The 13,133-nt window shown below is 39.6% G+C and overlaps 1 protein-coding gene and 1 long non-coding RNA gene across 3 annotated transcripts in view; both read right to left on the bottom strand.

Moving 5' to 3' along the window:
* ALMS1 (ALMS1 centrosome and basal body associated protein) overlaps positions 1–13,133 on the bottom strand; it is a 224,162-nt gene that overhangs the window by 150,383 nt on the left and 60,646 nt on the right. For both annotated transcript variants that reach the window (NM_015120.4, NM_001378454.1), the window contains 2 exon segments: positions 4,242–4,375; positions 5,470–11,577. In NM_015120.4, the coding sequence (NP_055935.4) occupies positions 4,242–4,375; positions 5,470–11,577 (6,242 nt within the window).
* Positions 55–2,434, bottom strand: ALMS1-IT1 (ALMS1 intronic transcript 1). The gene is made up of 2 exons (NR_046762.1): positions 2,211–2,434; positions 55–1,596 (listed from the first exon to the last, which is right to left on the bottom strand). It is a non-coding gene; the product is annotated as an ALMS1 intronic transcript 1 (long non-coding RNA).

Raw genomic sequence — 13,133 nt, 5'->3', positions numbered from 1 at the left:
GGACACTTTTAACTTACCACAGAACTCCAATGAAATGTTGAAGCAATGATGGAATTTTTTTCAATAACCAAATTAAAGCTATTTTATTAATAAATTATTCAGGCAAGTATAAACACTAGATCCTAAACTAGAGATATTTACAGTCTCAAAGAATCTCTCCCTAATATTTATTAACTTATTAATTAATATGTAAAACACACAAACCAGCAGATACCACCTTAACTAAGTGGTATGAGTTAACATTACAAGTATTGAGACAAATCAACATAATGTGCCTCCTGACAAGCATGAAAAGCACATCACTTCTGTGGCTTTCCTACATAAAAATCAAATCTGAATCAAATCATGATAAAACACCAGATAAATTCAATTTGAGGGAAATCTGCAAAGTAACTAGGTTGTACTCTTCAAAAATGTCAGTCATGAAAGAAAGAAAAAACAGAAGAAACACCCTATACTAAAAAAAAAATCATTTAAAACATGACAAACACTGAAGTAATTTATAACAGGTTTTTCATCAACATTAATATCTACAGGGACATTCAAAAGCTGTATGTGACAAGGGACAACTCTTCATTGTGTGGAACTGTCTTGTACATTATAGAAATAGTAACATACCTGACACCTATCTACTGCATTCCAGAAACAATCCCCAATTACAGTGATGACCCAAGAAAAATCACATAATTTTCCAAAATATCTCTTTGGGAGGCATTTACTACCCGTCAAGAACCACTGCCTTCCACAATCTAGTCTTCTCCCTTTCACTCTCACTCTCCAAACACACTGGCCTCCTCCCTTTCCTTTAACACTCCCTTTCCTTTCACACACTTTACCTCAGCAACTGTGTGCATGCTATTTCTGTCTGGAATGCTCTTGTCACTGTTAACTGCCTTACTTTCTCACCTTACTCAGATATTTAATTCAATACCTCTTTCTCAGGTTCTGTGTTGACCATTCTGCTTTGTCTCCCTGGCTCTTATCCCACCATCTGACATTTATTTTACTTGTTTGGTTGTTATTCATATACTCTTCCTTAATGTAAGCTCATGATGAAGAAATGTTTGTCTATTTTGTTCAGTGGTGTGTCCTCAGGCTATAGATGAGGATGGCGCATATCAGGCATTCAATATGTATTTTTGGAATGAATGAATAAATGTCCAACAGTAGGGTAGTGAATAAATTGTTATGTTCATACAATGGGATATTACATACCTGTGAAATTATGCTTTTAGAGAAGTTTTAAAGGGAAATCCTAATATATTTAAGTTAAAAAAATAAAAGGTCCAAAACCGTACACAGTGTGGCCAATATGGGTTCCCTAAGGACAAGGCATATCTAGACAAACACTATTTCGCAACTACTCAGTTAATAGACTGAAAAAAGTCAATCATAAGATGGTGAAACACAAGATGGTTGAATGACAGTATAGTGAAGTACTCAAAATAGGTGTGAGAGTAATCTTATTCAAAAGTTTTAGACCTTTTTTTTTTTTTTTTTTTTGAGACAAAGTCTCCCTCTGTCGCCTAGGCTGGAGTGCACTGGCACAATCTTCGGCTCACTACAATCTCCACCTCCCAGGTTCAAGCAATTCTCCTGCCTCAGCTTCCCGAGTAGCTAGGATTACAGGCATGCACCATGACACCCAGGTAATTTTTGTATTTTTAGTAGAGACGGGGTTTCACCACGTCGGCCAGGCTGGTCTCGAACTCCTGACCTCAAGTGATCCACCCACCTTGGCTTCCCAAAGTGCTAGGATTACAGGCATGAGCCACCGCGCCCAGCCAAAAGTTTTAGACTTTTTATCCATAGCCCTTAGTAAACATTTTTATTGCTAATTTGGATAAAAATACTTATCAAATATATAAATGGCACAAAGCTGAAAGGGATATTTTAATAAAATAAATGATCAAATTTGATTAAAAATCATTCCAATAGGCTTGAACACTGATATAAAAGCAATAAAAAGAAATACAGGAGAGTTAAAAAGTATTACATAGGGCGAGGCGTAATGGCCTGTAATCCCAGCATTTTGGGAGGCCGAGGCAGGCGGATCACTTGAGGTCAGGAGTTCAAGACCAGCCTGGCCAACATAGTGAAACCCCATCTCTACTAAAAATACAAAGATCAGCTGGATGTGGTGTCATGCGCCACTCACACAGCTGTAATCCCAGCTACCCGGGAGGCTGAGGCAGGAGAATCACTTGAACCTGGGATGTAGAAGTTGCAGTGAGCCAAGATCATGCCACTGCAGTCCAGCCTGGGCAATAAAGTGAGACTCTGTCTCAAAAATAAGAAGATTTTTAAAAAAGTATTATATAGATACAAGAAATGAGAATAGGAATCTTGGCAGCAGTTCATGGTTTTTGTTTGGTTTGTTTTGCTTTGCTTTTTTCCTACAGCTTTAAGTTTTGAAAGCAGTACATGGTTTTTTTTAATGCCCAATTATGCTGTGACCATTAAAGATCTCACAGTACATTGACAGAAAGAGAATTACTGAATATACTTCATGCTGGTCAGATCAGAAGTGAAATTGTGTTTCATCTAATTCAGGACACCTTATTTTAAGAAAAACACAGACAAACCAGAGTCTACCCAAAGGAAGGCAACTTGCTTGCTGAGGGATCTGGAAATATGAACGCAAGAAAATAATTTTTAAAAATAGGGAAACACAGATCACTGAGAAAACTATGTAATTTTAAACAAATGATGCTAGGATAGTGCTCACTTTGGCAGCATATATACAAATGGTGCTAAGACAACCAATTGCCCATTTTATTATTCTTATTATTTTGTCAATTTTGTTTTTCACAAGCATATACGTAAAACCTAAAATCCAATCTAATTTGTACTTTTCAAACTTTTCCAAAATTGAGATAATCCAAATAAACTATATCACTGGAGAATAGTTTTCTAAGAAACTTTGTATGAATCAGGCCATGAAATCCTTGCATGATAGCTATATCAATTCTTTCAGGATTAATAATAGTAATAATAGCTGCCAGTTACTGAGTACTAACTAGACATCACACGTTCTACTAAGCATTTTATAGGCATTATCTCACATAATCCACACCAAAACCCTCTACGATAGGCATTATTATACCCTATTACTATGCAAAATAGCAGACAAAATGCCTTATCCACAGGAGAAAGAATAAATTATCATGTAATCACACACTGGAATACTGTACAGTAATAAGGAACAAATGAAAACTCTGCACATCTACATAGAAGCAGCTCAAAACCCTAACACTGTGTGAAACACCTAGTTCTCAAAAGAATATGTATCATATTGATTCCATCTTAGAGTTCAAAACCATACTGAAGAGAAGGAAAATCATTATATATCAAAATAAGAAATAAAAAAGATATGACTGGGAAAGGAGAAACAAAGAACTTCAACAGTATTTGGTAATGTTCTATTTCTCAAGCTCGATAGTAAATATATGGGAATTATTTTTACTTGCTGCTATTCTTTACATAAATGATTCATATATGCTCTTTTCTACATATGAAATAGTTAATAGAAGGAAAATATGTACTATTAAAATGAAAGCCATTTATACATAAGCTATTATAGCTGTGTACTCAAGTATTTAAAATAAACATTTGAAAATAGCTGGATTTCAAGATACCACTTTCAAGAGAAAATAAGGGTGACATTTAGTCTTCTCTGTTCTTAAAAAAAAAATTGATAAAACAAGCAAATCAGTTCTTATTTTTCTAAGAAGATAAATTTTTCAAAATATGAATTTGGAATCAATAAAAACAACATATCTAGACTGTAAGAATCTAATACTTATATCTTAACTTTTGAAAAATTAAGATGCCTGCCTAGGCACAGTGGCTCATGCCTGTAATCCCAGCATTTTGGGAGGCCAAGGCAAGAGGATCGCTTGAATCCAAGCGTTCAAGACCAGCCTGGGCAACGTAGAGACCCTGTCTCTGCCAAAAATTTAAAAATTAGCCGAGCAGGGCGGTACACACATGTGGTCCCAGCTACCTGAGAGGCTGAGGTGGGAGGATTCCTTGAGTCTAAGAGTTCAGGGCTGCAGTGACCTGTGATTGCACTGCTGCACTTCAGCCTGGGCAACAGAGCAAGACTGTCTCAAAAACAAAACCAAAAAAGGCTTTAGCCAAATATTATCAGCAACTCAACTGATGCCCAAGTAAGAGATCCTAATTCCATCACCCATTCTTTCATATTTACTTTCTTCATTTCCAGATTTCTTTTATACCTTGGACAAGTCAGTTGTTCTTCCATGACCAAATAACTCTGCCTTGATCTCTTCTACTTTCCTCCTGTCATCTTCATTTAATTCTGAAATGGAGTATCCACAATCATGTGCTAAATTGAACTTCATATTCCAGGCTGGAGAGAAAGCATACACTTGAGATAATACAATGCAAAAGTGATAATTTGTCAACAATTGCAACACAGAAGATCATCAATATATGCAATTTAATACCCACTGCAATGCTTAGTATGTCTTCTTCTCAATTATGACAACCTATTAGAAATTCTTGACAGAGATCCTTTCACTGCAAAGTCTGATTTTCTTAAGTCATGCTCTATAGATAATTCTACAAAAAAGCCACTTTAAATCGGGTAATCAATCATATTTATCTTAATCCTCCTTTTAATCATGAGTTTCTTTACCTCTCCCTTTAGTTCCTGCTACAATTACTCATAATTCCATGACAGCTGATATTTAAAAGTAATAAATACAACTTGGAGGTTTTTTTGTAGAATAAAAATGTGCAGGGAACAGCGTAGGAAGTTAACCTCAAGGGACGATTTCTAGGTAGGCCTAAATTGCTTTTAAATTGCCTCCCAAAATATATTCCCCATATTGTCTTACAGATTTTTGTTTTTAATGGAATTCTATTAGAAATTAATGAGATTTGTAAATATTCTCTTTTAAACCTCTAACCCAAGTTTTAGTATAAAATACATTGATTTTTTTTTCAAATGTCTGAGATCAACACCAAGAGTTCTATTAGAAAAGGGAAAGAGAAAATATATGTAGTTTTAGGACAAAAAGCAATTTAGAGCACAGCAAATTGGAGGCTCTTTCTGCCTTCAGAATAAGGATACTATAATGGGAGGATTAGAGAAACGTGATAGCTTTAGGAGCTCAGGAGCCCAAGCGACCTCTTTACTCTCTGTCATACATCAGAATCTACTTCTCCTAAGAACAAGAACGTAAACTCAGGCTGGTACTATTAATACTGTAACTTAACTACATTATTGGTTAAATAGGCTTTTTATGGATTGTTAGAAGAAATATAGTCATTCTAACAATTCTATTGGAAAATACATTTAGAACTCCAAATATCTAACTTCATTTTTTTTCTTGATCTTGCTTGTATTTTTCATTGGCTAAGCTTCCTCAAAACATAAATATCTAACTTTAAACACATTATTAAACTATAACGTTTATAAGCCTGAAACTTTCTTCTTACCATGTGCTCGTACCCGGCTTTCCTCTTCCTCTGCATTTCTGAGTATTTCTTTAGCATGATTCAGTGAGGATTCACATTGCAGAAGGTTTTTCACATGTGCAGCCAGTGAATCTACACTGCTACCACCACCATCCTCACTCTCTGACACACCCTCTTCCTCCCTGCTATCTGTTATACTTGTCTTGGGTGAAACATATGGAAAGAAGTTTAGAAGAACATCAGAAACTGATTCCAAAGACTCTGGTAAATTACTGTCCCACGAGCAGGAACCATTTCCATCACTGGCATCACTACTTGAATCACTTTTTATGACAGTCATCATAGGGATAATAATTTTATTCCCAATGGTTCCACTACACCCTTCAGGTTCAGACCTCATTACAGATTTGGCTGCTTGATATTGCCTAAGAGTTTCTTCTAATGCCATACTGACTTTGCTCTCTGCTTCCTGTAGAGGACTTCTAACTGTAGTTGAACTAATAAACTCCCAATTTTCAATGCCTCTCCGGCATTTCAAATTCGTCTGTGTGCCAATATCCTTCTGTATGCACCTGCTGCTTGGGCTTTCCTCTGTGAATGGCTGTCTGTGAAGCAAATCACCATTAGATACACCCGTGGAAGAGGGTTCTTTGAAGCAAACCACCTTCTTAGATTGTATAAATGAAATATCACTAATATCTCTGAAACGGGCAAGGGGAGCAGGAAAATTGCATCGTTTCAGTGCCATATTTTCTGCCTCCATCAAAAGTGTCCGAATTTCCTTAAGAGTTTTAGCACTATTTTCTGCATCCTGGATTTCTTCAGAGCCAACATCTCTAAAACCTGCAGATTCTGGTTTATTTATTACAACTCTGTCATCAGCCTGAGAATTTAAAAGCACATTATTTGAGCTAACACTGGAGTCAGAAGAATTCAAATTATCTATTAGCCTTTGGACATGTTCTGAAACAAGCTTGTGATTCTCACCATGTGAGTAAGTACCAGAGGGAACTGTTTGTAATCCGGTAATTTGATCAGCTTGCCCAAGAGCACTTGAGATCTTTAGAGCATCTTCAGTTAGATGTCTATCTGGCAAATCCTTTTGATAGAAAATATCTGGTTTCTCTCGATGTGAAAAGGAACTAGGAAGAGCTGTTGGTAATACTGTTTTCTGGCCAGCTGGTCCAGGAATTGTTGAAACCTTCAGCACATCTTCAGTTACATGACTACCTGGCAATTCCTGTGGACTGAAAATATTCGATTTCTCTCTGTGAAAATAAGAACTAGAGAGAGATACTGGTTTTCCAGTATTCACATCAGTTAGTTCAGGGACAGCTGAAATCTTTAGAATACCTTTACTTTGATCTCTATCTGGCAACTGCTGTTGAAATAAAATATTGGGCTTTACTGTTTGAGAATAGGAACTATGAAAAGCTGTCTGGGATGGAGTCTTCTGGTCATTTGGTCCAATCACAGTTGAAATCTTGGGCTTCTCTATTTGTGAGTAGGAACTAAGGGTAGCTGCTGGAAACTCAGTTTTCTGGTCATCTGGTATATGCACAGTTGAAATCTTGAGTTTCTCTTTATGTGAATGTGAGTAGGAACTAGACAGTCCTATTGGTATCCCAGTCTTCTGCTCTGCTGGTATAGAAACAGGTGAAACTTTCAGAGCCTCTTCTGTGAGATGACTGTCTGGCAACTCCTGTTGAGAGATAACACTGGGCTTCTCTCTACGTGAGTAGTAACTTAAAGGTACTGTTGGTATCTCAGTCTTCCGGTCACCTTGTCCAGGAACAACAAAAACATTTAAAGCTTCTTCAGTAACATCTGGCAACTCCTGCTGATGAAAAATACTGGCCTTCTCTCTATTTGAGTAGGAACTAGAGGATGCTATTTGTATCCCAGTCTTCTGGTCAGCAGGCCCAGGAACCCCTATTGCTTTCAAAGTTACTTCAGTAAGATCTGGCAACTCCTGCTCATAAGAAATGACAGAGTGCTCTCTCTGTGGGTAGGAATTAGAGGGCAGGATGTTTATTCCAGTCTTCTGGTCAGCTGGTCCAGGAACTCTTAAAATTTTCAAACCTGCTTCAGTAAAATGCGGCAACTCTCGCTGGTAGGAAACAATGGGCTTCTCTCTGTGTGAGTAGGAAGTAGAGGTTACTGTTGATACCCCAGTCTTCTGGTCAGCTGGTCCAGGAACATTTGAAACTTTCAGAGCCTCTTCAGTTAGATGACTATCTGGCAACTCTTGCTGGTAAGAAATATTAGGCTTCTCTGTATGTGAATAGAAAGAGGAAGTTACAGTAGATAACCCAGTCTTCTGGTCAGCTGGTTGAGGAACAGCTGAAACTTTCAGAGCTTCTTGAGTTAGCTCACTGTCTGGCAGGGCCTGTTGGTAGAAGACAATGGGCTTCTCTCTATATGAGTATAAACTAGAGGATACTGATGGTGTCTCAGTCTTCTGGGCATCTGGTCCAGGAACAGGTGGAACTTTCAGAGCTTCTTCAGGTAAATGACTGTCTGATAGGGTCTGCTGGTAGAAAATGACAGGCTTCCCCCTATTTGAGTAGCTAGTAGAATGTACTGGTAATGTCTCAGTCTTCTGGTCAGCTGGTCCAGGAGCAGCTGAAACTTTCACAACCTCTTTATTTAGAGGACTGTCTAGCAGAGCCTGCCGGTAGAAAGTAATGGGCTTCTCTCCAAGTGCACTGGAACCTAAAGGTCCTGCTGGTATGTCAGTCTTTTTTTCAGTAGGTCCAGAAACAATGGAAACTTTCAGAGCCTCTTCAGGTAGATGACCATCTGGAAAGGCCTGTTTGTAGTTAACAATCGGCTTCTCTCCAAATGAGTAGGAAGTAGAGGTTATGGTTGGTATGCCAGTTGTCTGGTCAGCTGGTCCAGGAGCAGAAGAAACTCTGAGAGCCTCTTCAGGTATTTGACTACCTAGCAATGCCAGTTGGTAGAAACTGCCAGACTTTGCTCTATGTTGTGAGTAGGAAGGAGAGGTTATAGTTGGTGCGCCAGTTGTCTGGCCAACTGGTCCAGGAGCAACTGAAACTTTCAGAGACTCTTCAGGTAGATGACCCTCTGGAAAGGCCTGTTTGTAGATAACAATGGGCTTCTCTCCAAATGAGCTGGAAGGGGAGGTTACAGTTGGTGTGCCAATCGTCTGGTCAACTGGTCCAGGAGCAACTGAAACTTCCAAAGCCTCTTCAGGTAGATGACTATGTGGCAAGACCTGTTGGTAGAAACTACCAGGCTTCTCTGTGTGTGAGTAGAAAGTAGAGGGTAAAGTTGGTATCCCAGTCTTCCGGTCACCTGGTCCAGGAACCGCTGAAACGTTCTTAGCCTCTTCAGTTAGATGACTACCTGGCAACGACTGTTGGTAGAAAATACTCGGCTTCTCTGTATGTTGTGAGTAAGAAGTAGAGGTTACAGTTGGTGTGCCAGTTGTCTGGTCAACTGGTTCAGAGGCAACTGAAATTTTCAGAGCCTCTTCAGTTGGATGACTATGTGGCAAGACCTGTTGGTAGAAAACACCAGGCTTCTCTGTGTGTGAGTAGAAAGTAGAGGGTAAAATTGGTATCACAGTCTTCTGGTCAGCTGGTCCAGGAACCGCTGAAACATTCTTAGCCTCTTCAGTTAGATGACTACTTGGCAACGACTGTTGGTAGAAAATGCTGGGCTTCTCTCTATATTGTGAGTAGGAAGTAGAGGTTACAGCTGGTGTGCCAGTTGTCTGGTCAACTGGTTCAGAGGCAACTGAAATTTTCAGAGCCTCTTCAGTTGGATGATTATCTGGCAAGACCTGTTGGTAGAAAATACCAGGCTTCTCTGTGTGTGAGTAAGAAGCAGAGGTTGGAGTTGGTGTCCCAGTCTTCTGGTCAGCTGGTCCAAGAACAGGTGAAACTTTCTGTGCCTCTTCAGGTATGTGACTACCTGGCAAGGTCTGTTGATAGAAAATACCAGGTTTCTCTCTTTGTGAGTAGAAGGTAGAAAGTACTCTTGGTATCCAAGTCTTCTGGTTACCTGGTCCAGTAACAGCTGAAACTTTCTGAGCCTCTTCAGGTATATGAGTACCTGGCAAGGCCTGCTGGTGGAAAATGCTGGGCTTTTCTCTATGTTGTGAGTAGGAAGTTGAGGTTACAGTTGGTGTGCCAGTCTTCTGGTCTGCTAGTCCAGGAGCTACTGAAATTTTCAGAGCCTCTTTAGGCAGATGACTCTCTGGCAAGGTCTGTTGGTAGAAAATACCAGGCTTCTCTCTTTGTGAGTAGAAAGTAGACGGTACTGCTGGTGTGTCAGTCATCTGGTCAGCTGGTCCAGGGAAGGCTGAAACTTTCAGACTCTCTTCAGGTAGATGACTGTCTGATAACACCTGTGGGTACAAAACACTAGGCTTCTCCCTCTGTGGGTAAGAACTAGACTGTACTGCTGGTATCTCAGTCTTCTGGTCAGCTGGTCCAGGGCCAGTTGAAACTTTCAGAGCCTTTTCAGTTGCATAACTATCTGGCCACTCCTGTTGATAGAAAATACTGGGCTTCTCTCTATGTGAGAAGGAACCTGAAGGTACTGTTGGTGTTGGGACAGTCTTCTGGTCAGTCAGTCCAGGAATAGCAGACATTTTCAGAGATTCTCTAGGTAGATCACTGTCTGGCAACTCTTGCTGGTAGAAAACACTAGATTTCTCGCTATGTGAGTGAGAATTAGAGGACACTGTTGGTGTCCCAGTCTTCTGGGCAGCCAATACAGAAACAGCTGAAACCTTCAGAGCTTCTTCAGGGAAAAGAAAGTCTGGCAGGGTCTGCTGGGAAAAAATAATGGGCTTCTCTCTGTGTGAGTAGAAACTAGATGGTGCTGAGGGTATCCCAGTCTTCTGATCACCTGGTCCAGGAACAATTGATACTTTCAGAGCCTCTTCAGTTAGATGACTATTGGGTAAGGTCTGCTGATAGAAAGCACTGGGCTTTTCTCCAAGTGAAGAGGACGCAGAGGAAGTAGAGGTTACAGCTGGTGTCCCAGTCTTTCCGTCAGCTGGTCCAGAAACAGCTGAAACTTTCAGAGCCTCTTCGGGTAGATGGCTGTCCAGCAAGGCCTGTTGGTAGAAAACAAGGAGCTTCTCTCTGTGTGAGTATGCACTAGAGGGTACTGTTGGTAGGCCAGTCTTCTGGTCAGCTGGTCCAGCAACAGCTGAAACTTTCAGACCCTCTTCAGGTAGATGACTGTCTGCTAAGTCCTGTGGGTACAAAATACTAGGCTTTTCTCTTTGTGAGTAAGAACTAGACTGTACTGCTGGTATCTCAGTCTTCTGGTCAGCTGGTCCAGGAGTGGCTGAAACTTTAGTAAGAGTCTCTTCAGTTTGATGACTGTCTGCGAACTCTTGTTGGTAAAAAATACCAGGCTTCTCTCTATGTGAGTGGGGAGTAGAGAGTACTGTTGCTGTCCCAGTCTTCTGGTCAGCTGGTCCAGACACAGCTGAGACTTTCAGAGCCTGATCAGTTAGATGACCATCTGGCAAGGTCTGTCGATAGAAAAAGAGGAGGTCCTCTACATGTGAGTGGGATGTAGAGGATACTGTAGGTATTCCCGTCTTCTGCTCCACTGGGCCAGGAGCAGCTGAAACTTCCAAAGGCTCTTCGGTTAAGTTACTCTCTGGTAACTCTTGTTGGTAAAAAGTACCAGGCTTCTCTCTATGTGAGTAGGAAGTAGAGGTTAGAGTTGACATGCCAGTTGTCTGGTCAGCTAGTCCAGGAGCAGCTGAAACTTTCAAAGCCTCTTCAGTTAGATGACTGTCTGGCAAGCCCTGCTGGTAGAAAATGCTGGGCTTCCCCCTATGTGAGTGGGAACTAGAGAGTACTGTTGGTGTTGCAGTCTTCTGGTCAGCTGGTTCAGGAATAGCTGTGACTTTCAGAGTCTCTTCAGTTAGATGAGTATCTGCTAATGTCTTTTGGTTGAGAGTATCAGTGTGTTGACCAGTAGTAGTTTCTAGAGGAGAACTTACAGCCAACTGAGACAGGTCCTCAAGGGACAAGGATAAATGAGATCCAATGTCTGAATCAACAGGAGTGGTAGTGATGCCTGACTTCAAGTTGGATTGAGTAACTTTAGCTATGCCTCCTTTAGAAGTGTCTCCTAAAGAAAAAGAGATTTGTTAATAGTATATAAAATTTTCTATTTTAAAATTCTATGTGCTGGAAAAAAGCCAGCTTTGAGCCTTTAAAAAGCTTCTAGAAATGAATCCTAAGGAAACAGCCATCAAAGGAGATAAATATTTGCACACAAAGATATTAATTAGAAAACTAAAGTAAAAACATTTTAATCTTCAACAACAGAGTAATGGTTATAAACAACAGTATATCCAGTGGATGAAATATTATATGGATCTTACAACTTGGATTTTTAAGAGAATTTTCAATGAGATGGGATAATGCTATTGGGTCTAGGATTTGATTTCACCCTACTTACAATCTGTTATTGTGTCTTGCAGGCTGGCAGAAGACATAAGGTCTTCAGTCAGAGACAAAAGACTTCATGATCCCTGGTACAGCAAAGGCTCATCAGCTTATTTTCACGGGTTCCTCCTGCCCCCAAGTCCCACAGGGGCAGTACAATATGGCCTAGAGGGATGCTATGCGTGCAGTGAGTTTGAAGGACTCTCCCAACAAATGCACCCTGTATAATATATATATATTTAAGTACATAAAACTGAAAAAACTCTAAAGGTTACTCTGAAGAGTTTTAACTTAATTCTGTATAGCATGGCAAGTTGTTTACAGTTTTAAAGTTTTCAAGATGAGTGAGAAGGGAATGTAAAAATCTAGGTTGCACAATCCAACAAACATTTCTATAGAAATGTTCTATATTTGCACTAATACAATAATTCTAAATGAAAGCAGTTTTAAACAGCAGTGTAAAGTAAGTGACTGCAACAGAAATGACAGGATTTGACAAGCTGTCCCTTCATTCATTGTTCATTCAAAATACATGAATGCTTACTATGTTCCAGGCACTGTTCTACATACAGCAATAAACAGACAATAATCCCTACCTCACAGAGCTAATTTGTATTCTAGCAGGAGGAGGCTGACAATAAATTGGTAAAACATATGATGTGTCAGATGGTGTTAAGATGATTGATATATAGAGCAAGTATTATCTATTTTTTACGTATAGGGAAACCGAGTTGCAAAGATGACCATGTAACAGTGCTTCTCAATGTTGGGATCTTGTTAACTTGCAGATTCTGACTCAGTAGGTCTGGGTGGGACCTGAAATTCTGCATTTCTAACAAGCTCCCCAGGGATGCCCAATGTTATTGGTCCTCAGACCACATTTTAAGTGCAAAGATACATAGTTTTTCTAGAATTGTAGGTGGGTAAGTGACAAAAACTGGTACTTTAACCCTTAAACTCTAAATCCAAGTTCTGAGCTCTTTCCACTACAACTGACTGGCTTTCTATGGCCACTGACGAGCTTCAAAGGAGCTGAATATAGAATGAAATGGGTTGAGGAGTGAATTTCAAAGTAAAGAACTAGAAGTATCAAGTATTAACTCTTCAAGAAAAGTAAAAAATTTAAAAATGTAACATGCATTGTAACCTGAGAAGGAATATGAGTTACAAAATTTTGTGAGGTTCTTGCCTGCTGGGTCTAAAGAAAATAAGAAAAGTTTTTGTGAGGAAACAAAA

This window comes from Homo sapiens, chromosome 2 (genome assembly GCF_000001405.40).
Source record: "Homo sapiens chromosome 2, GRCh38.p14 Primary Assembly".
In the NCBI taxonomy this organism is placed as follows: domain Eukaryota; kingdom Metazoa; phylum Chordata; class Mammalia; order Primates; family Hominidae; genus Homo; species Homo sapiens.
Note: the sequence above shows the minus strand (reverse complement) of the source record. Positions and strands in the feature narration are given on the sequence as shown.